Source organism: Homo sapiens, chromosome 18 (assembly GCF_000001405.40).
Source record: "Homo sapiens chromosome 18, GRCh38.p14 Primary Assembly".
In the NCBI taxonomy this organism is placed as follows: Eukaryota; Metazoa; Chordata; class Mammalia; order Primates; family Hominidae; genus Homo; species Homo sapiens.
Genome location: NC_000018.10, coordinates 37,169,721 through 37,192,295, shown reverse-complemented (window position 1 = coordinate 37,192,295; position 22,575 = coordinate 37,169,721). Strand labels below are relative to the sequence as shown.

Here is a 22,575-nt window from a genome sequence, read left to right as displayed (position 1 = left end):
GAGAAAGACAATATGGATAGATGGACTTTATAACCTTTAATACAAACCTATCACAGAGAACAACCCAGCAGACAAGAAACACCCTTGCCCCTCCACACACGCAACACACATACACACATACACACACACACACACACACACACACACACAATTTCTTGACTTATCTTTAGATGTAAGTAAAACTAGATGTTCAGGGCTGTTTCAGTGGGGACAGGATGAGCTGGAGGTTAAGGTGTTTTGCTCGGACTTAGTGCTACAGTTGAAGCTGGGAGACTAGAACTGATTTGTGAGCAAGCTGAAACCAGAGTTCTTTGGAAGAGACCTGAGATTCGTCCAGTTTAACACAGCAGATTATACCACTCTGCCCTCTGGTCACAAGGAAGCTGACAGAGGGTGCCAAAGGGCAAAATCATGAAAGAGACAATAGTGAATACACAAAGACCTCACTCCCCTTGTTGATAAGTATAGATGGCTCCCAGAAGAGCCATTATTTAAATAGATGGTCAGGATTGTGAACTCAAGAACTGTTTCCCTAATTCTTGATACACCTGTACGTTTGGGTTAATACAGTTAATGATTCCACTTAGTACATCAGATGAAAATTAGAGATGGGGGAACATGCAGCCTTTTGGGATAGATAAGATCAACCATATATGGGTCAATCATATACAGTGTGTTTCCTGGAAAAGGCAGACACCCAACTTCCCTGTTCAATGAAAAATGGAAGACTGTGAGTGAAGCAGCTGATATACTATGAATGCAAGCCATGATGGATTGGCTTTACAGTAACCAGGATGTTCTCCCAAGGAATATACCTCTGACTCAAATATGATAGAAGATGTGACTAGACTGTACCTAAAGTTACTCCCAGGATACTTTAAGGCTAGGAGAGAATAAGAATTAGTGCAGGCACATGTAAAAGAAGACTCTAAAGTGCTACTTGCTTGCCACTTTGAGAACAGTAGTATTTCAGTGAATGGATATGGTAAACACAATGTAACGTATGTAATGAAGTCTTTAAATGCACATGTATAAAAGAAGTTAAATTTAAAAAAAGAAGAAATAGTGCAAGAAACTAGACCTGATTTATTGTCCCTATTTCCTTTCATAGGCTTTACTGATGCTAAGAAAATTAGAATGATTCCGCAGACAGGGAGGAAGGGAATGGGAGTCAACAGAGAAACCAAGTGTAGCCACATAGGTAGAGATATATTGATTGTTGTTAAACAAGAAATGAATAAAGCAGGAATGGATGGGAAAGAAACCAGAGTTTTAATGGACCATTACCAAGATTGGGGACCAACTAGGGTTTCTCCCAAGTGCTCTAGCAGTAAAAAGACCCAGACAGACTCACTATCTATCCCACTTTGAAAGAATTTAGAAACTTTCATAACAAGGAAAAGCCCAATGAATTTGTTATTGAAACACAAGAGGTGTCACTAGGAAGGAGTGAATTTGATGAAGATCGATGGGGAGGCCAGGGTCTCCTGGTTCATTATAGTTGACACTGGGCCAGCATAGTAATTAAACCTCACATCCCTTGTTTGGGTCAAAATCAATGATAAATTGAAGGAAAGAGATAAAGAATGAATAAATGGGGTATGCTGAGATAAAAATCCAACATTATTTTGGTGTCTCACAAGAGGCTCAGAGAAAGAATAATAACTTTCTCTCTTTCTTAGCTCAAACTCTGGATCCCAGAAGGGTGAAGAAATGTGGTTTGCCAAAGCTGTCCGTGCTTCTGGAAACTGACAAAGTAGAACGACAACCAGAAAACTCGCGCAGCATCCTCCAGGAAATGCCTTTGTTCTGCATTACTCCTAACCAGAAAGATTCCATTTAACCATTTCTTCCTCTACAAAGAAATTCATTCTAATTGCTTGATTTAACTTTAATATATATTTTTCTCACCTCGAAAATACAGGTAGGAGTCATTTTTAGAATATAGCACATATTTTATAGCAGTGATTTTTAATATAGACTAAATTTCTGTATAGATCCAATTGGAAATATATTCATATTTTGTAGCATTCCTAGAGTAAGTTATGAGAGAAACATGTACATTCTCATTCCAACAATTCAACCCTGGGGGACCAACTACGGTTTCTCCCAAGTGCTCTGGCAGTAAAAAGACCCAGACAGATCCAGCTAAAAGGCCAATCCAGGCAATTTTATTTAGCATACTGATTTCCCACCTACCTCTTTCTTATTTATTCATAGAATGGCGAACATAAGGAAGAGTTTTTGCTTTTTTAGTTTCCAGATATTTCACAACTTAGGAAAACTTTATCTAAAGAAAGAGAAGTGCATAAAAAGTGAAAGAAAAAATAACTGGAAGGAAATATACTAAATACTAAATTATTAACAGTGGTATATACAGTGGATACAGTATATACAGTGGGTAGAGTAGGATTATAGGTAACTTAAATGTTACTTTAAAAAAATCTATAGTACCACTGCAATTGTCCCAAAGAAATATAAGTGCTTAAGTGATTGCTAACAAATCACTGGTATCAGTTTCCTTAAAAACTCATTAGCAAACAGATTCTTGAATAAACCCTCCCTAACCCATATAAATAGCCCTCTAAAGAGAGATTATAGTTGGTTTTATGAGGTGAATGCTGGGTGCCCATGCCTTAGCTAATTAATCTTATTCAGCACTTTAAACCTGACTTGGGGACCATGGGCTGAAGTTGGTGGCAATAAAGTAAACTTGAAATAGTTTGTAATAGGCCATACAGTATTTCATAATTTTTGCAAAGGCTACATGAATATATTTCTTAGAAATTAATGTTAAATAGCTTATGGTATTAAGTTATAATTTGAATTCTATACTATCTTCATCTTAAACCTCTGATATGAAAAATTCTGAATACAGGCATTTGATTTCATTTTTAAAATAATTTATTTTAACCAAATATCCAATGTAAATAATAAGGTCTGACTTTTTTTCCCACCATGTTTGCTATTAACCTTTTCTAGACTTGTCCTTATACTGATAGCTTTCCCTACTACATTTGCTTCTCTCTTTCAAATAAATAGTTGTGTGAAGGAGAGATTGCTTTTTATACCTAAATACTTGAGGATATCTTGTGTTACAATCAAGAAATCTATGATAATCTGTGCTAATGAAACAGTCCTAGTAACCAGGGTTAACAGAGAAATGTTTTCTTCTTTTGAGCCTTCGGACTATCCTCACCCATATGGAAAGCCATATTAGCTGAAAAGAATTCGTTTTTTTTCCTCCTTTAATAGCAGCTTTTGCCAACAGATTTTTACTCAACTCTAGAGATCTCAATGGATCAAATTTACTTTCTTTCAATCTGAAATGAATGTGATACAGGGATTTACTCTTCATGCAACAACAGGAGCAGAGAGAGCATAAAAGAATGTGAAGTCTGCAAGGCGTGAAATTAAAATTTTCACATTGATACAAAAGATACTGCTGAAGTAATGATATAATGTTATAATCCTGCTATGAAATCTTCCAGTTTGAATAAAAGTCAATGCCATGTGACCTAACATTGATACAGCAGTAGAAACATTTTGCTGTTCACAAAAATATTTCTATCCAAAGGAAAAAGACAAAAGAATTAGGGAAACCTGTGGTGAGGACTGTGGTGAGGCATAAACTTACTGAAGGAGACAGTTCTGGAAAAGCAATGAAGCTCTAGCAGCGCTGAAGCAGGAACAAAGGGAAACTGTAATCCTGGCTGAGGAGGCCCCTCTAGGAGCATCACAGCAATTCCCAGCAACTCCTAACTCTCCCATTGGCCACAGAGGTTCCACTGTTCTAGTGGTTTCAGGCCAGTTCCAGTCTTTGTTCTGCCACTAATTATCTTGTTCATTTGTATATCGGTGGTTTGTATTACCATTATGATCCACTCCTGAGATGATGCATCACTTCAGCTTTTACTAGAATCTGGTTCTTCCCCCACTATTCTATTTCACCCAGAAGACAGGAGCTGGCTGTGGGGTATTATCAACTGGTCTAGAGAGAAGTTTTATTTTAGAGGCAGCACATTTCTCAGTCATGAGCCAGACTGTGAAGACAGCAGGCACAGGCTGGATGGAATGAAGGGATGCTGACTAAGGACTCCCCTCTGAGCTATCTGGCATAGCACTTATGCCTATCTGTGCCAAGACAGCATCACTTCATTAATGGAGAACACTTAAATGCATTCGAGTGAAAGTCCATACTTTCATTTGAAGCTCAACGCCAATTGCTCTTGAGCTTCAAAACCAACTGGGCATCTTTCTTTCATGGGTAATCTATCTTACTTTCATTAGGATTTGTATACCAAGGAGCTCATTTATATTCTATAAACACCATTTGTGGTGAGTCCATTCAGTATCTGGTAGGTCATGTGTCCCAGGCAGATGTTTCCAGACTTCATTAGGTTACACCAGGCACTAAGTACATGACTGTGGTGACTTCTGTAAGGTAGACATCTTCCAGGACATTGGAAAGAGACAGCCCTCGGTAAGAAACAAGTTGAACATCCCTTTCCTAGGCAGGGATTGGCTTCCATCTTGGCTCTTAAAAATGCTTCATCAGGGTTGCTCAGAGCCCAAGTGGGGGGAAAAAACCCTGAGGTACAATTCCTAGTATCCTTTTATTTATTCAAAGTAAAACATTAAAAAAAATCCTCCTAGCTAAGGAAGGCTTTTATCTTATCTTCTTTATTATATATTACTATTTAATATGAGCATTAATCCAGGATATCTTTCAACTGTCAAAATGTAGAAAGGATGGGTTATTCATGTATGTTAAGAAACACAACTGTACACAAGGCTTGTACAAGACATGCAACTGTATACAATTTTGTCTGCTTTCTATCTTGCTATGCAGATATTTGGCTTGAAATTTTCTTTTTCACTCTAATTATTGGCTCTGGGTTTCAAGTAGCCCATGTGGTGAGAAGAGCTTGATGCAGGGTCCCTATTCTAATACAAATCCCAACGCACCTCAGAATCTCCCAGCTTTCCCATCGGAAGAAACAGCCTCTCACGTACAACATTAATCACTCTTCCCTTGTCTGCTAAGAGGCTTATGTTCCAGCCAAGTTGATCATTTATTAGGATTTGGGGGTGGGTTCCAAGCAACACGATAATAAACTTTTTTTTTTTTTGAGATGGAGTCTCACTCTGTCACCCAGGCTGGAGTATAGTGGTATGATCTCAGCTCACTGTAACCTCTGCTTCCCAGGCTCAAGCGATTCTCCTGCCTCAGCCTCCTGAGTAGCTAAAACTACAGGTGCCCACCACCATACCCGGCTAATTTAGTAGAGATGGGGTTTTGCCATGTTGGCCAGAGTGGTCTCAAATTCCTGGCCTCAGGTGATCCGCCAACCTTGGCCTCCCAAAGTGCTGGGATTACAGGTGTCAGCCACCATGCCTGGCCAATGATAGGCTTTTAATCTCAGTAATAGTCATACTTTTTTCAGTATGCACCCATGACAACAAGAAAATCAATGAAAGCCTTAATAAGCAAATAGGAAATGTGTTGGCCAATTGCTGTTGAGCTTCAAAACCAACTTGGAATCTTTCTTTCATGGTAAGTCATTCTTTCTTTCGTTAGGATTTGTACACCAAAAAGTTAATTTATATCCTCTAAAAAGGCATAGTAAAGATGATTTGGTGAGAACATAGATCCAGAAATCTTAAGCCTAATGAAAATAACAATGTTCATGCATTTCCCTTCATGGTTTTTTTTTTTTTTTTTTTTTTTGATAGGGTTTCACTCTGTCACCCAGGCTGGAGTGCAGTGGTGTGATCATGGCTCACTGCAGCCTCTAACTCCTGGGCTCAAGTGATCTTCCCACCTCAGCCTCCCGAGTAGCTGGGGCTACAGGCGCACACTACCATGCCTGGCTAATTTTTTAAATTTTTAGTAGCAACAAGGTCTCACTATGTTGCCCAGGCTGGTCTCAAACTCCTGAGCTCAAGTGATCCACCCTCCTTGGCCTCCCAAAGTGTTGGGAGCGTGAGCCACTGCACTCAGCCTCCTTTTATGCTTACAAAGACAAAAATTAGCTGGGCATAGTGGCGCAAGTCTGTAATCCCAGCTACTCGGGAGGCTGAGGCAGGAGAATCCCTTGTACCTGGGAGGTGGAGGTTTCAGTGAGATTATGCCACTGCACTCCAGCCTGGGGGACACAGGGAGTACCTGCCTCACAAAAAAAAAAAAAAAAAAAAAAAGACATCCTTGAAGCCCAAATTGAGGTCATCAGTCACACTGAAAAATGTAACTGTATATCAATGTCAGCTACATGCTTTGCCTTGGGGAAAGAATGTTCAGAATTGTGCCTAATAGTATCAAGAATGCCACTAAACAAATAACTTTCAAATATAACTGTTTAACGATAATTTTTATGGTTAAACTCATAAACGGTTACAGACAATATAAAATGCTAAAATGAATTTCCGCACAAGAAATAAAGAAAAAGTAAGCTGAAGGAGAAAAACAGACAGTCTTTTTTTTTGGGGGGGAGGGCATACCCCATTAAGATGAAAATGTTAAATATATTAAAAGTGGTATGTGTGTGTGTGTACGTGTGTGTGTGTGTGTGTGTATATATCAGTAGGTATATACGTATATATATATTTAAATATATCAACAGTGTATACAAAAATGTCCAGCTGAGCTGAAGATACATTAGCCAATTACCATTAACTACTTTATTCTATGTCTTCTCCATTATAAGTAGTCTTGCTGATAGTCTTTGATTTACACAGTGGCATTCTTGGATACTATTAGGCACAGTTCTGAATATTCTTTCCCCAAGGCAAAGCATGTAGCCTACATTAATACACAGTCATGTTTTTCTATGTGACTGAAACCTCAATTTGAACTTCAAGGGTATTATCTTTTTTTCTATGTCTTTTGGTTGGTGTCCTCCCTATAATATAGTAAGATTTGATGTTTTCCAGACATGATTTTGTTTAAAATTTAAAAAGTAAACCTTCAGTATGTTCACAGAGCATAATCTCAAGACCTGTAAACTGTACCGGGTCCCTTGTCAACGGGGTGGTGCTTCCTACGGAATTGCTCTGTGCCATGCTGTGAATGACATGGTGTCTCTAAACTACTGACCAGCACAAAACCCAAACTTCTTTTTTTTTTTTTTGAGATGGAGTCTCACTCTGTCGCCCAGGCTGGAGTGCAGTGGCGCGATCTCAGCTCACTGCAAGCTCTGCCTCCCAGGTTCACGCCATTCTCCTGCCTCAGCCTCCCAAGTAGCTGAGACTACAGGTACCCGCCACCACGCCCAGCTAATTTTTTTTTGTATTTTTAGTAGAGATGAGGTTTCACCGTGTTAGCCAGGATGGTCTTGATCTCCTGACCTCGTGATCCGCCCGTCTCAGCCTCCCAAAGTGCTGGGATTACAGGCATGAGCCACCACGCCTGGCCAACCCAAACATTTTTAATGGGAAGTTTAAACCATGTTATTCTGAAATCAATCATTTAATTATTTTTAGAAATGTTCATTTCTTCATACTTTATTCTCCAAATGTGTAAATTACTCTGAAATCAAGAGACAGATGTACCAGTTTTTGTGTTGATTTTTACCTCTAAACAAAGGGTAAGGTTCAGACAGATAGGACAGAAGCCTGGAAAACTTAGGTTCCATGTGAAGGGACTTTTTCAAAGTTTTGCTGCTAGCGAGCTGTGGAGGCAGGATAAATCCAGATCTTCGGCCTTTAACTCTAATGCCCTTTCCTCTAAGCTCTGCTCACTGTCAACATGCAATGATTTTAACTTGAGAAAACCCAAACAATAAACTAGCTGCAGACCAAAGCAGAGGTTTAGGAAAAGGTCTGTGATAGGGCTGAACATAAGATAATGGAATGGCTAAGCAAAGCATATCTGATATCCTCATTGATACCGACATTGTCTATGCAATTAACTCCCAGTGCAAACAACATGTTGACACTGCTCACACTCGGGAATCTGCTATTATCTTGTCTGGAAATACCCTGAAAGCCAAGATGTTTTCTAATCCTTACAAAATGGAAAAACCTTAAAATAGGAGAAAATACAAGGAAGTTCTGGGATATAAAAGAAGTACAACTAGATGTATAAGCTGGGCAGAAGCAATGGATTTTTTGGAGATGTGGTGAAGACATAAAGCAAAATAGATGTCTACTGGAATGTCATGAACTGGTAAGTTAAAAAGAAATATTCACTTTGTTTATGACCATTCACTAATTCATTCACCCAACAAATATTTATTTAATGTCTATTATGAGCCAGGCTCTGCTCTAGTGCAGGAATGAAAAGAACAGAAAATAATAGAAAAAGTACTCATGCTCATAACGTCCACATCCTTTGTGGGGCAGGAGAGGAAGGGGGAGAGACAAACAATAAATAAAACACACTAGTAAATTACATGGCATATTAGAAGGTGATTAAGTACTATGGGGAAAGATGAAGCACAGATGAGAAAGAGAGGTAGAAAGTATCAGGAATGTTTCCTTAGGAAATTTTCTCTTAAAACTTGCTGAGAGTTCCCTCACAGAAGATGGGTCCATACAAGCTTTTCATAGAGAAGACTGACACCAACAATATGTCTTAGTAATTAATCCCCAATTTCAACAGTTTAAATTGATAAGTCAAGTTCTTTAAGGGCTTCTTAGTTTTTTCACTGCAGGCTTATTGATATACTTTGATAATCCCTTGGGAGGAGGATAATGATGACTAATAAAAATTGCTAATGGAAAGAAGAGGCCCTGGGCTTGGGTAGGGGACAGAAAAAAGAAAGGCAGAATGTTGGTGTGCTGGGGTTAAGAAGTAAGGAGATGTGCAGCTCCAGAGCAGGGGCTTCCAAATATGTGTCTTTAGACAAAGTGCATCAGAGTCTTTTTGAAAAATCAAAAATACACATCACTGGGGCCCATCATGGGCAATTGTGATTCAATGAATCTAGGATGAAGCCTAGAAATAAGTATTTTTTAAAGATTCCTAAGTGATTCCAATATGCAAGCAGATTTTAGAACCACTGCTCTGAAGGGAATTAAATCCTTTCAGAATCTTATGAAATGGCTAATTATGAGGACAAAATCAATTATCAGTAACTTTGGTCAGTCCTTGAGTGACCCTAGAAACAGATATCCCAAAAAAAACACACACAATATCTTAACCCTATCATCTAGACAAGAATCTTACTTCCTAACCTCCTCTATTTAGAAGAAAAACAAATGGAGGGGAAGTCTCAAAACATTGGAAAATTTGCCAACATTGCATAAGGAAAATCCTTTGAATGCAGGGTCATTCATAAACATGTGGCTTGCTTCTAAGCCACATTTTGGCAGAGGCACTGTCACTCAGGGCATTTGGCAGAGGGGCCAGTATCATATCACATGTATTGTTTTAGATGCCCAAAGAAGTCTTGTTTCCCAGAGCACAGAAGAAAGCTAACACTGAGTGCCCAACATGGACAAGCATCAAGTTAAAGGCTTTGCATACATAGTTGAATTTAATCCTATGAGCAAATTTATAAAATAGCTATTAATATTCATATTTTCACATAAGGAATTGGGCAAATGGAGGTAAAGTAACAGGCATATTTGCAAGGTCAATATAAAAAATATAATCAAACTGCCCACCTCTGAGATGAACCTAACCCTATTCCTAACTCTTTGTTAGGGGATACACTTATAGTTTGGAATCACAAGAGCAAGGTCCAAATCCTAGCTTGTTCCTGATTGCTTGAGTGACCCTGGGAAGTTCTATAATGACAACTACTATTTATGGAGCACTTAGCCATGCACCAGGCCTGTGCTACGTACTTTACATAAACTATCCTACTTAATCATCATGACATACCTATGAGGGAGATATTATTACTCCCATTTTATAGATTAAATTAAATGATTTGTTCAAAGCCACATAGCTAGCATTCAAACCTAGGCCTATAAACCACAGAGTTATAATTATTACACCTGGGCTCTTAATTGTTCTGTAATTGTCTCTTGGAGCTTTACTTTCTTATGGTTGTAAGGATTACATTAGGTAACATATAAAGTAATTTTTATAAAAGCATTAAAGTGCCTAAGGAAGAGACATTAAAAATATTTCTTAAAGTTGAAGTTAAGGGAATTTGATAACCTTGGACCAAATGAACAACTCTAAAATGGCAGTTCATGAGGCTAAAAGCTGTGAAATGACAGCAGGAACTGGCAATACTGAACAGATGTCACCATTCATAGCAGTTTTCAGAGTTCAGTACCCTGGAGAAGACACAACAAGGAAGGATAATCCTCATCTATTGCTGGGTTGACAAAGGAAATAAGATATTTATGTCATATGGGCCAAGAGTAACTTTAGGGTTTTTGCAACTACTTGGAACTACTGAGTGTAAAATTTTGAAATGGGTTTGTCCCCTATAAATGTGTTCCCTTTGTCTTCTTTTTAAACATTGTTTCTAAAATTATGGAATATAACATTGTTGTAGAACATTTGAAAAATCATGTGAAAAGTAAAACAGCTCTTACAACCTCCTCACCCAGAACTTAGGTCTTTAGAAAGATTTCCTGAAGCCAAGGAGTAGAATTCTATCTCAGTGAGTAGTAAATATAAGCTGTTGTAATGTACATTTTCCCAAGTACAATATATTCTTTCTATAGTAAGAATGTCTTGACAAGCTTCTTCAAGCTGAATTCACTTCTTGGAATTTGCTACATCGTTATTATTTCTGCCTAGCCTATTTGTCTTTATTTTCCTAACTTACACACTATAAACCAGTGTGTATAAGAGGAATGGATTCTTATATTAATGGCTTTTAACAGTGGGAATTACAGTATTAGCCCAACATCATGACTTAACTAAAAGCAGTATCTTTTCATCAAACACCTAAGAATTTCCATGCATTCTATTGTTCTTGGTGGTACTGCAGTGGCCTGGAATTCCAAGTTATCAACCCAACTAAATGAAAATCCTTTTGAATGGCTGGGCTTTTTACCCTCTTGGTTAAACATGGGAGACAGGCATGTTTATAGCTTCATATTTTCTTTTACATGCTCAATACATTATTTTCTGAAGTTTCCAGATTAGTCCGTTTTACTATAATCAATTTATGTGCATCATTTCATTTGGTTTTAATTTTATTATTTACAAGATACTCAAAATGGAAAAGTTATGGTTAATGTTACTTTGTGTATAGTGAATAAACTGTTACTCTGAGGGCAAGGAAAGCTAAAATTACAGTTCTCAGCCTTACAGCTCATACTTTAAAAAGTGATTTTGGAAAAATGGGAATAAATTCTATCTGATATTTTGAAGCTGAGCTTTAACAGTCATTAAAAATCTTGACAATAATATGTAATTTGTATGAACATATATTATAAATGGATATATCTGTATATGCCCAATGTAATACCTGATACATAACTGGCATTTAACGAATAATAGCCACCATCATCACATAGGGTCATCACTCATATGCTCTATTATATACACGCAGCAAGGTTTGCTATTCAAACCTACTATGAAAACCCCAGCAGAGGTTTGTGATCTTAGTTTATCTTATTCCTCTCTCCTGCTAGGAGGATAATACATGATCATTTCCTCTGCTAGGAACATCAGAAAACCTGGTTGAGTGTTTAAAATATTTAGGTAAATGTATATGTGAGAAGATAGTCTCATTAAAAAAAAAACGGTTTTGTTACTGTTAGGATTCTGGACACAAATGCAAGCAAATATTGCAATCTGACTGCTATGCATAATTGAACTACAACACCTCCACTTCTCTGTGTAACTAAGTTTCTTTCTATCAAGTTATAAAAACAAAACAAATTCCAATGTTAAAGTAAGTTTGTCTGATTCCTACCCAAAACCAGAATTTTATCAGCTCAGTGCTTACACGTCAGAATCAAATCCAAGTTTCAGCCAGAATGGAAGAATGAAAAAACTTTGAAAGTTGCGATTAGAAAAGCTCGATTCATGTCTTCTTTTCTGCTTCCTACTATGTGACCTTGGTCAGTTACTCAGTCTCCTTTAGTTCTTATTTCCTCATTGTCAAATCGGATAATACTACTACTTACCTCACCTTACCTCACAGGATTGTGATGCAATTTAAATGAAATAACGTACCTAAAATCATTCTGCCAATGCTAAAGTACTATGCTAAGAATTGTGAACAGGCAATTATAAATTTCAGTATTATATTTTTGTTCCCAGTATAAAAATGTGTGTGTGTGTGTGTGTGTGTGTGTGTGTGTGTGTGTGTGTGTGTGGCTTTTGAATCCCATGGCAGCTGTCAATCCAGAATTCTGTAGCTGAGATAAAATAGATCACTGTTACAATCAAGCAGATCATATTTATGTGACTTTCCCTTCTCTTCAATTTGAATGGTTACTGGCAGTGTGATATGGGAAACGAAATAGTGTCTGACCTGCTCAATGGGCTAAAGCCTTGGTTTATAACCCACAGAGAATCAAGAGTAACATCCTCTTTGTGGCCCAGCAAAGGAAAAAAACACCATCAGTTGTTCTGGTACTTTAAAGGCTGTGCCATCATATCTGGAGCTGGAAGCAATTGGATTTTCATGTTAAGTTACTTAAGATAACAATAAAGATAAATAAATAATGTATTCACAACAGAGAGAAGATTCCTTCCAGACTGGGATTGGTAGAGTATGGTCCCAGGTTTCAGATACTTCTGAGCCTAGTTCCTGGCTCTCAGTCTCAGTGGGCCAAAGATCACACAAGCCACCTTCTAGTCAGCTGTGTTTAAACAGCTGCCTTGTGAGCATGGCTGTGCACAGGCAACTGTACTATAGAAAGCTCAGCAAGGCATGAGCTTACAGCAAAATTTTCAGAACACATTAAACATATGGTTGACAGCAAAGCAAGGTTTTAAAAAAACTCAAACTAAACTATTAACACAATAACATGGAAATAAATCTATGTACTTACAGCCAACTGATATTTGACAAAGGTGTGAAGAACATACAATGGAAAAAGGACAGTCTTTTCAATGCTGGGAAAACTGGATATCCACATGCAGACATGCAGAGAGTGAAACTAGACTCCCTATCTCTCATCAGATACAAAAATCAAATCAAAATGGATTAAAGGCTTAAATGTAAGTCCTGAAACTATGGAACTACTGGAAGCAAACAAAGAGGAAAAGCTCCATGACATTGGTCAGGAAAATGCTTTCCTGGATATAGCCTCAAAAGCACAGGCAACAAAAGCAAAAATAGACAAATGGGATTACATCAAAGCTTCTGCACAGCAAAGGACACAATTAACAGAGTGATGAGACAACCTGCAGAATGGGAGAAAACACTTGCAAACTATCCATCTGATAAGAAGTTACTATGCAAAATATATAAGGAACTCAAACAACTCAATAGCAAGAAAATAAAGTGACTAAAAAAATAGGTTAAAGACCTGAATAGACATTTCTCAAAGGAAAACATTAAAATGGCTAACGGGTACATGAAAAAATTCTCAAAATCAATAATCATCAGGAAAATACAAATCAAAACCACAATGAAATATCACTTTGCTCCTGTCAGAATGGCTGTTACCAAACGGACAAGACAAGTGTTGGCAATGATTGGAGAAAGAAAACTCTCATATACTATTGGGTCGGAATGTAAATTAGTACAGCCATTATGAAAAATAGTATGGATGCTCCTCAAAAAATTACAAAAAGAACTACCATATGATCCAACAATCCCACTGCTGGGTATGTATCCAAAGGAAATGAAACCGGTATGTCAAAGAGATATCTACACTTCATGTTTACTGAAGCACTCATAATAGCCAAGATATGGAATCAACCTAAGTGTCCATAAATGGATGAATGGATAATGAAAATGTGGTATATATACACAGTGAATACTATTCAGCCATAAATAAGAATGAAATCCTGTCATTTGTGGCAACATAGATGAACCTGAAGCATATTATGTCAAGTGAAATAAGCCGGGCACAAAAAACAAATACTGAACTGGTTGACTTGGCCTCAATTGCTTTCCAACAAGCAATCTCACTTGTATGTGGGATCTAGAAACGTTGATCTCATAGAAGCAGTGAGTATGATAGTGATACTAGAGGCTAGGAAGAGTGGGAGGTGGGGACATGGGGAGAGAGGGGTCATTGGGTACAAAGTTACAGTTAGATAGGAGGAATAAGTTCTGATGTTCTATTGTGCAGTAGGGTGACTATGGCTAACAATATTGCATTTTATTAGGTTGGTGCAAAAGTAATTGCAGTTTTTGCCATTATTTTTAATAGAAAAAAAACCACAATTACTTTTGCACTAACCTAATGTATTTCAAAATAACTAGAAGAGAGGATTTTGAATGTTCTCACCATAAAGAAATGATAAATGTATGAGGCGATGGATGTGCTAGATTCTCTGATTTGATCATTACACAATATATACATGTATTGGAACACCACAATGTACCTCATAAATATGTGTAATTATGATGTGTCAATTAATAAAAATAAACTATTTTTTAAAAGCCCCCAAATAATTTATCAAGTCCCTCAAAGTATGTACTCAAGTATTTCCCAAATCCTGTCAAGAAAAAAGAAGCTTCACAAAATCAACACCTCTCCCCACCAGTAACTCAAAAAGAAACAAAACAAAATAAAACAAAACAAAAACCTTTAACGCTTTTGTGTTGTCATTAAAAACTCATCTTTCTTTAAAAAAAAAAGCTAAAAAAGTGAACAGTACATCCTAGAAACAGGCTAATTCCAGTTCCAGTTCTGAAAATTCACTAGTTGGGCGTGATTTGGTGAAATCTCCCTTTCTTTCTTCACATCTTACACACAGACACACAAAGGCACAGGGAGAGCACCAGCTGTAACTGTTTGTAGAAGTCATAGAAGAACAGAAAGAAGTGACCTTAGTAACCTTTTACTTCAGGGACTGAGAATCTAATCCTGCTACTGTAGGCCTGGTGTGCCTCTGCTTATCAGGGTCCAACAATCACTGTGTCACCATATGACTGAAAAATACAAACTCCACCAATATTTTTAAAGGTGACAAGATTTCTGTTGCATTGAGCAATCTCAGAAGATACTATCTTCATTTTAATATAAAATGTATCAGATCTACACATCTGAATAGAAAAAGACACCAACATATCAAGGATATACAGCTGTAATAGGCCTTCTTTCCCAGTCAAATTTGAAATAAAAGACCTGAAGATCCAAGGCTACATTAATGCAAATTCTGCCTGTTGCAAGTATACTTTTTGATTAAATTGGCATACATCAAGTACAATTAGAAAGGCTATTTATAACGAAGAAATACATAATTCTGCATCTTAATGTAGATGACAATTACAGCTGATGGTTGCTAATTATCATTACTTCTTTTGCTTTGAGTGTTATATATTTCCTGTATGATCTTTATTGTTGACAATGGACACACCTAATTCTAGAAGGCACAAAATGGTTAATTATCAGTTATATCTGTGCTCATAACACATTCATTTGAGAAGCAAATGGTAACTTGCCCAGCTCTGGCTTCACACTGGAGACTAAAGGATCAAGTAGACTTGGTAAACTCTGACTCATTCATTTGGTAGGAAAGGTATTTATTTAAGTTTCTTTTAGAGCCAAGGCTCACCTACCCTGAGGTGTTCAGAATGACAGGGAGAAAGCCCCTCAACTCCTCTTTCCAGGTGGAGTGGTCTGTGGGGCATTGCTTGTTCCATTCAAGCAGAAATGAATGGTACATTTAATTCAGCTTCACCACCCTCTTGTGCCAAGATGACCACTGTGCTTATTCTCTTACGCAGCTTAGGGGTGTGTGATCAGTGTGGAGAGCCAGAAGTGAAATGGAGAGAAAGAAACACTGCAGCTTTCAGCACAGAAAACTATAATGCCCCCTTTGCTTATGCTGTAAATTACATATTTATTTTGTTAGCATGAGATAGATGAATATTTCTACATACAAAGGTGCCCAGCTAAAATCAGGATAAGTGATATTGATGTCTTATGGTCAGTATTATTGAACCTTAAAAGCAATAAACTTTATGAGTTAATAAATATTATATTTGCAACATAGTTAACATTCCTTTACTGTCTCTAGCACTTATTACACATTGTAACTGCAAGTCTACAATACATTATTCATATTTGGGGTGTCACCAAGTGATGGATTGCTGTAGGAGAGGTTGTCCTTTAAATAAATCAACAAATAAAAATGCAAATGTTAACATTTTCAGCCACAACTTTTTCCATCTTGAATGGGGAATGAAAATTTTACATAATATTGACAGCCAGCAGTGAGAACAATTAACAACCAACACTGTGAATGAGAAAGATGACTCTGCCACACCTGTTTTTTTCACCTGCACATGGAATGAAATGGAACTCTTCTAGGTATTTTCAGAGAACAAAGGAAAACCTGTCTCCCACTGGCATCTGTCTCACCCCCATCCTTGTTTGCAGGTCTTGAAAATTCTTGGAATTTAAGGTGGACAGGGGAAGAGCTTTTACTCTTGTTCCCTTTGGTACTTTCAAAGGTTTGTTGAGATAAAGAACAATAGGCTCTTCTCTTACATTAAGAGTTTGCATGTGACTGATATGTAGTCTATTTAAAAAAATGTCTTTTCTACACTTTGAAATAAAAACAGTACAAATAATCCTGATTCTGAAATCTGGAAAGCCACCACTATGCCTTCTTGGTAACTGATTTTCATAGTACTCTGATTTTTTTTTTTTAACTCTGCAATTCGTGTAAGAGACCTGTATGATGTCATCATGCATTTCTAAAGATAAAATATGGTGTGCTACATGTTGTTTTATTAAGCCAAATGCTCGTTACATAGGAAGCTTCTGAGAATCTATATTTAGCTGATCTGCAGTATTAAGGACAAATAGATAATCCTTTTTTAAAGTCTGTAAATATGACTCTTCACAGCAGTTTTAACCTGGGCTTGTAAAACTCTACAATGTTGATATGATCCATTCCAAAAATGTGTGCTGAGGATGTTTTATAAAACTCTTACTGGGGCAACATTTTATTCCATTTTTTCATACTTCCCTCTAAACTGAAATGCAACCATCAAAAACAATATATTAAAGTGGTGTTAAAGATCTCATTTTAATCTTTAACAATAGGAAAATTCACTAAGATTGAAAATCCAGATAATCTTCCTTCTTTACCTCTAATTCCTCCAAATGAATCCCTCAAGGTGAGCTAGGATGGAAACCCTCTGAGCACAAGCTTTCAGCCACAACGTTAAGTGATCCAAAGAGGAAGCTCCATCAACATTTCAGAAACACAACTTATTGTGGATCTTTGGAAGAATGCCAACAACAGTAGCATTAAAAATAAAAGAAAGCGGCTGGGCATGGTGGCTCACACCTGTAATCCCAGCACTTTGGGAGGCCAAGGCGGGCGGATCATGAGGGCAAGAGATCGAGACCATCCTGGCAAACATGGTAAAAGCCTGTCCCTATTAAAAATACCAAAAAAACAGATCACAAGGTCAGGAGATCAAGACCATCCTGGCTAACACAGTGAAACCCCGTCTCTACTAAAAATACAAAAAATTAGCCAAGCGTGGTGGTGTGCACCTGCAGTCCCAGCTACTCAGGAGGCTGAGGCAGGAGAATGGCGTGAACCTGGGAGGTGGAGCTTGTAGTGAGCCAAGATTGCGCCACTGCACTTCAGCCTGGGTGACAGAGCGAGACTCTGTCTCAAAAAATAAAATAAAATAAAATAAAATAAAAATAAAAATAAAAATAAAAATCCAAAAAAAAATTAGCCGGGTGTGGTGGTGGGCGCCTGTAGTCCCAGCTACTTGGGAGGCTGAGGCAGAAGAATTGCTTGAACCCGGGAGGTGGAGGTTGCAGTGAGCTGAGATCGCACCACTGTACTCCAGCCTGGCGACAGAGTGAGACTCCATCTCAAAAAAAAAAAAAAAAAAAAAGGAAGAAAGCAGCAACAGTGAAAGGATGCGGCAAACTAGTTAAATTCTCTTTTTGATTGTGTGTGGCCTCCAAAATAGAGAGGTTGTCATTGTCAACTGTTACAATATTTAAGATTACGAGGTTTGGAGTCTGAAATGCTGGCTTTGCCTGTTGTTAGCTATGTGATCTTAGACTGTTCTTCAATATCTCTGAACTTTAGTTTCCTAATTTTAAAAATGGGGATAATAGTGCCACCTCATAAGGTTGTGAAGATTAAATTAGACAATGCATATAAAGGGCTTGGCAAGGTGCTAGGGACATGGCAGATACTTAATAGATGGTAGCTATTGTTATTATCTTTTGTGTTGGAGTCATTTCTCAAAAGTTCTTTAAGATGCTTACCTTTCTAGCTCCAGAATTAAAGGAATGACAAAAAGAGCCAAAATACGATGAACACACTGTTTCCTAGGTTTGGCTTCTGTGGAACAGCATATCTATAGGCACTGGACTGGAATACAACTTTTTAGAGGAGGAAGAAATAATCTTTCTCTTCCCTTTGAAATTACCTCAAACCAAAATAATAAATTTTAGAGCACATCTTTAAAATCATCAGACTTGAGACTTGTAATTTGGGCATTTCTACTTTGCAAAGCCAATGGACTTCAAATTAACTACAAATTAAGTCTTAACATTTATATTCAATTCATCGGATAAGCTGCTATGAATTTAAGTGCTCAAAACCAATCATATCCCTGAAGAAACATAAACCAAGCCCTTTTGGTACTGACGTTTACATATTCAGCCTTAATTGCATAATGTGGGAGTTGGTTCATTAGACATGGGAAATTTAAAATAAGATATTTCTTTCCCTGACTCCAGAAAAGGCTGATCAAATGCTTAACCCTTCAAATGTGTCTGGTCTTAAGTTAATGTTGGTATTCCTTTAACTAGTACAAAAGCCACTATAATGTTCAATAGCAATGATTTCAGCTAGTTAAACTTATAGTCTAAATGTATAACTTTTCTGTGATAAATTAGGAAAGCCCTGCTGCTAAACAGACTTTCTGGTGAAGGATAGGTTTAGCTTTAGGTTTCTATGGAAGCCCTTACATTACCATGATCAACTAAGAAAGTGCATGTATAAAGAAAAGGACTCCATGTGGTTCAAACTGGCCAAATCTAGATGCTTCAAAAGAAGGACCTCTCTTGAGAAAGAATTACTAAGAGTTGTCAAGATTTTTCCCTTCCTTATTAAATAAACTTCAAAAAAATGCTCTCATAGGGAGAATATTAAAAACTAAAGAATCTCTGAAGCTTACCGGGAGGTGGTGTGCTGTAATGATGGTGAGGCTGTGGTGACAAAATCCTTTAGGCTTCCTGTTGGCATAGGAGATGTAGACGCATCTTTTCTAACTCCTGTCACTGTCCCTATATGAAAAATAAAGAAAATAATTTGGGCATTCAGTAAAAGAAAATGGAAAAGTTCACTCTTAGTAAATTTATAAGACATTATAGGAATGTCCAAGCTTCAAAGGTAAGCCACTTGTTTCCCTGAAATGTAACAATGGCATATGAAAAACTCACTTCAGTTTTGTAAACATGGGAAATCTATAATGCGCTTTAAGAAAATACATTTTTGCAGTGACAGAGTAACTAGAGATTTTGTTTTTAAACCTGATTGCCTAGCAAAGCCCTGCTGATCTTGGTTTACTGTGAAAATGCCCAAGGAGGTGGGATGTTTTATTTTGCTCCCTTTAACTTTCATAAGAAAGATTCCAGCACTTTGTAACTCTAAACCCTCCAAATTAAATTGATCCTCTTTAAAACACTTTCAAGATATATATAAGTCTTGAAAGTTTCTTTTAGAGAACTCAACATTGGCTAAAACACATGTCTTAATTGGAAGAGATGCTCAACTAATATTCATTCGAGTGCCATGGGAAAGTTCCTAAGCAATAGTTTATCCTCCCAGGAACTGCCTGACTTGGCCTCAATTCCTTTCCAACAAGCAATGTTTAGTTTGTAATTACTTTTCTCTTCTGGAGTGCTAAATAAAAAGATGGTATGGACAGAAATATTGTTTTTATTTTATTTTTCAGTTATTATTAGTTTCTAAACAACATAAAATATAGCTATATTTATCTTGGAAGACTGTAAGAATCACATGCAGTTTTTCTTCTGGTTCTCTGAAAACTGTTATCCGGGATGCATGAAGTTATTTGGGAAGATCCACTCTTTGACAAAAAGGAGAGTATTCAAATAACAAAAAGCTTTGGAGTGCTGGGAATACCAGACCCTAAAATGCCAGGAGTGCAGTATGCTAACTTTGGGAATGGCAACAGGTTGCGTGCAACCTGAAATCATCAGGCATAGAGAAGGCTAGAGTCTTACAGCTATAGCGATTAGCGTCAAAATGATCACCATTATCCTTGGCTTCAAAAACTATACTCTTTATGTCAACTATTCTCTACTCTGTTTGTTCGTTTGTTTATTGAGACAGGGTCTCACTCTATCACTAGGCTGGAGTGTAGTGGTGCAATCCCAGCTCACTGCAACCTCGACCTCCTGGGCCCAAGTGATCCTCTTGCCTCAGCCTCTTGAGTATTTGAGACTACAAATGTGTGCCACTATGCCAGGCTAATTCTTTATTTTTATTTTTGTAGAGACAGGGTCCCACTGATCTATTATGCGTAGATGTAAAAGACCAGCCTCTAAATGCACAATTCATTCTTCTTTATATATAGAAATCTGTGGTACCCTCAACCCAAACAAGTACATATTAATACTGGCCAGTGCCAGGATTAAGCTCAGGCTTAGTTTATGGGGAGGGAAAGGAAGGTATGAGAGTAAGGACACAAGACACTCTTGACTATCACATAAAGAGACATAGAGGATGGGCTCAGTGGCTCACACCTGTAATCTGAGCACGTTGGGAGGCCAAGGCAGGAGGATCAGGCCAGGAGTTGAAGACCAGCCTGGGCAACATAGCAAGATCCTGTTTCTATAAAAAATAAAATTAGCCAGGTGTGGTGGCATGTGCCTGCAGTCCTAGTCCCAGCTACTCAGGAGGTTGAGGCAGGAGGATCCCTTGAGCCCAGGAGGTTGAGGCTGCAGTGAGCTATGGTCATACTACTGCACTCTAGCCTGGGCAACAGAGCAAGAATCTGTCTCAAGAAAAAAACAAAACCAAAACCACAGATAACACAAGGCAGTATAAGGTAGTAACTGCTAACACATACTATATGCTTAGTGTATATATAAATTTTATTGAGGTATAATTTGAGTATCATAAAATTTACTCATTTTAACTGTAGAGTTTGATAAATAGTAACTTTATATAGCTATGAAAGCATGGCTACAAGCCAGTTTTTATTTTAAATTTGCATGGTACTTAGATATTTCTTTTTAAAATCCAGTTTTAGAATATTTCCTTGTTCCAGAAGGTTCCCTCTTGCCCATTTGTAGGTAATAACTGCTCCCGGCCTTAGTCTGGTCCTAGCCCCCTCTCTATCTCTATTGTTTTACCTTTTTTAGAAATTATTTTTTATTTTCATAAAAACTCTTTGAAATAATATTTTTATAACAAATTTGCAGATAAGGAAAATAAGCCATAAAGAGCCTATGTGATCTGCCCAAGGTCACCGAGCTATAAGTGATGGAGCTAGTATCTATGTCCGAGATGACCTGAGAGCTTTGGCCATTATGCTATGCTGCTGTAATAAGTACTATGAAAAGTCTGAGGAATTAAGAAATGGGAGAGTTCACATTTGGCTATAGGATTTGGGGAACATTTGATGCAGGAGGTAGGATTCTTTGATAGGAAACAATGACGAGCATGAAATGGGAGACAGAGAGTTACATTAGCAAAAGCATTAAACTGAAAACCTCAAGGCTAAATATTTCATTTAGTCAGGAAATATTTATTGAACATCACTATGTCCTTGTACCCTGCTAATCACTTTAAATGTATCATCTCATTATTAATCCTTACAACAGTCTTTAAATTATATTAGTGTACTTATTTTATAGATAAGGAAGTGGAAATTGTAAAAAGATCAAGCAGCATGTCCAATATCACCCAGCTGGTAAGAGCAAAGCTGGATTTTGAATGCAATCAAGGTCTGTTTGGCTCTGTATGGCAAACTTGTAAGCATTATTTTAGAGGGACTCAAAAATAAAACAGTAACAACAATGATTAAAAAAATACCAAACTGGTCTTTGGAGAGATTAATTTTGAGGCAGAATTTAGAATAGAGTGGAACAGATAGAACAAAGTCAGGCAAAGCAGTTCACTACTAATACAATTGTCTGGGTAGAATCCTGGGTGATGTAAGAGGAAATTAAGACAGACAAATAGGAGTAGAAACAACTGAAAGGGATTTGTGAGTGAGGTGAAAGGGAAGAAGAAATGCTTGGTAGTGACAGAATATAAATATATTTTTGGTCACTATCACAGAATACCTGGGGACAATTTAAAGAAGGAATTTTAACAGATGGTCCAGGGATTTTTATAATTGAAGAATGTACTTCAGGAATGTACAGATACCTCATAATTGTAAGGCACAACAATGTATATATGTGTGCTCATTTATTTTTCTGAAGAAAGAAACCATATCTTTTACCAAATTCTGAAAGGGTATGGGACCCTGAAAAGGATAAGAATGATTGCTGTAAAGCACA

General features: G+C 37.4%; 1 protein-coding gene across 23 annotated transcripts in view, besides 1 other annotated feature; it reads right to left on the bottom strand.

The window, feature by feature from the left end:
- KIAA1328 overlaps nt 1-22,575 on the bottom strand; it is a 403,046-nt gene that overhangs the window by 39,877 nt on the left and 340,594 nt on the right. For all 23 annotated transcript variants that reach the window (NR_136303.3, NR_136304.2, NR_136305.2 and 20 more), the window contains one exon: nt 19,215-19,323. Coding sequence is in view for 20 of the 23 variants with exons in the window: in XM_047437678.1 (XP_047293634.1) it covers nt 19,215-19,323 (109 nt within the window). In the remaining 3 variants the exon portion in view is untranslated. The remainder of the gene's footprint in view (nt 1-19,214; nt 19,324-22,575) is intronic.
- Nucleotides 16,236-16,530: a silencer, noted in NCBI's record as "tiled region #1146; HepG2 Repressive non-DNase unmatched - State 24:Quies". NCBI's record gives its function as "represses a minimal TATA promoter and a strong SV40 promoter by Sharpr-MPRA in HepG2 cells {active_cell/tissue: HepG2}" and the evidence as "EXISTENCE:reporter gene assay evidence [ECO:0000049][PMID:27701403]".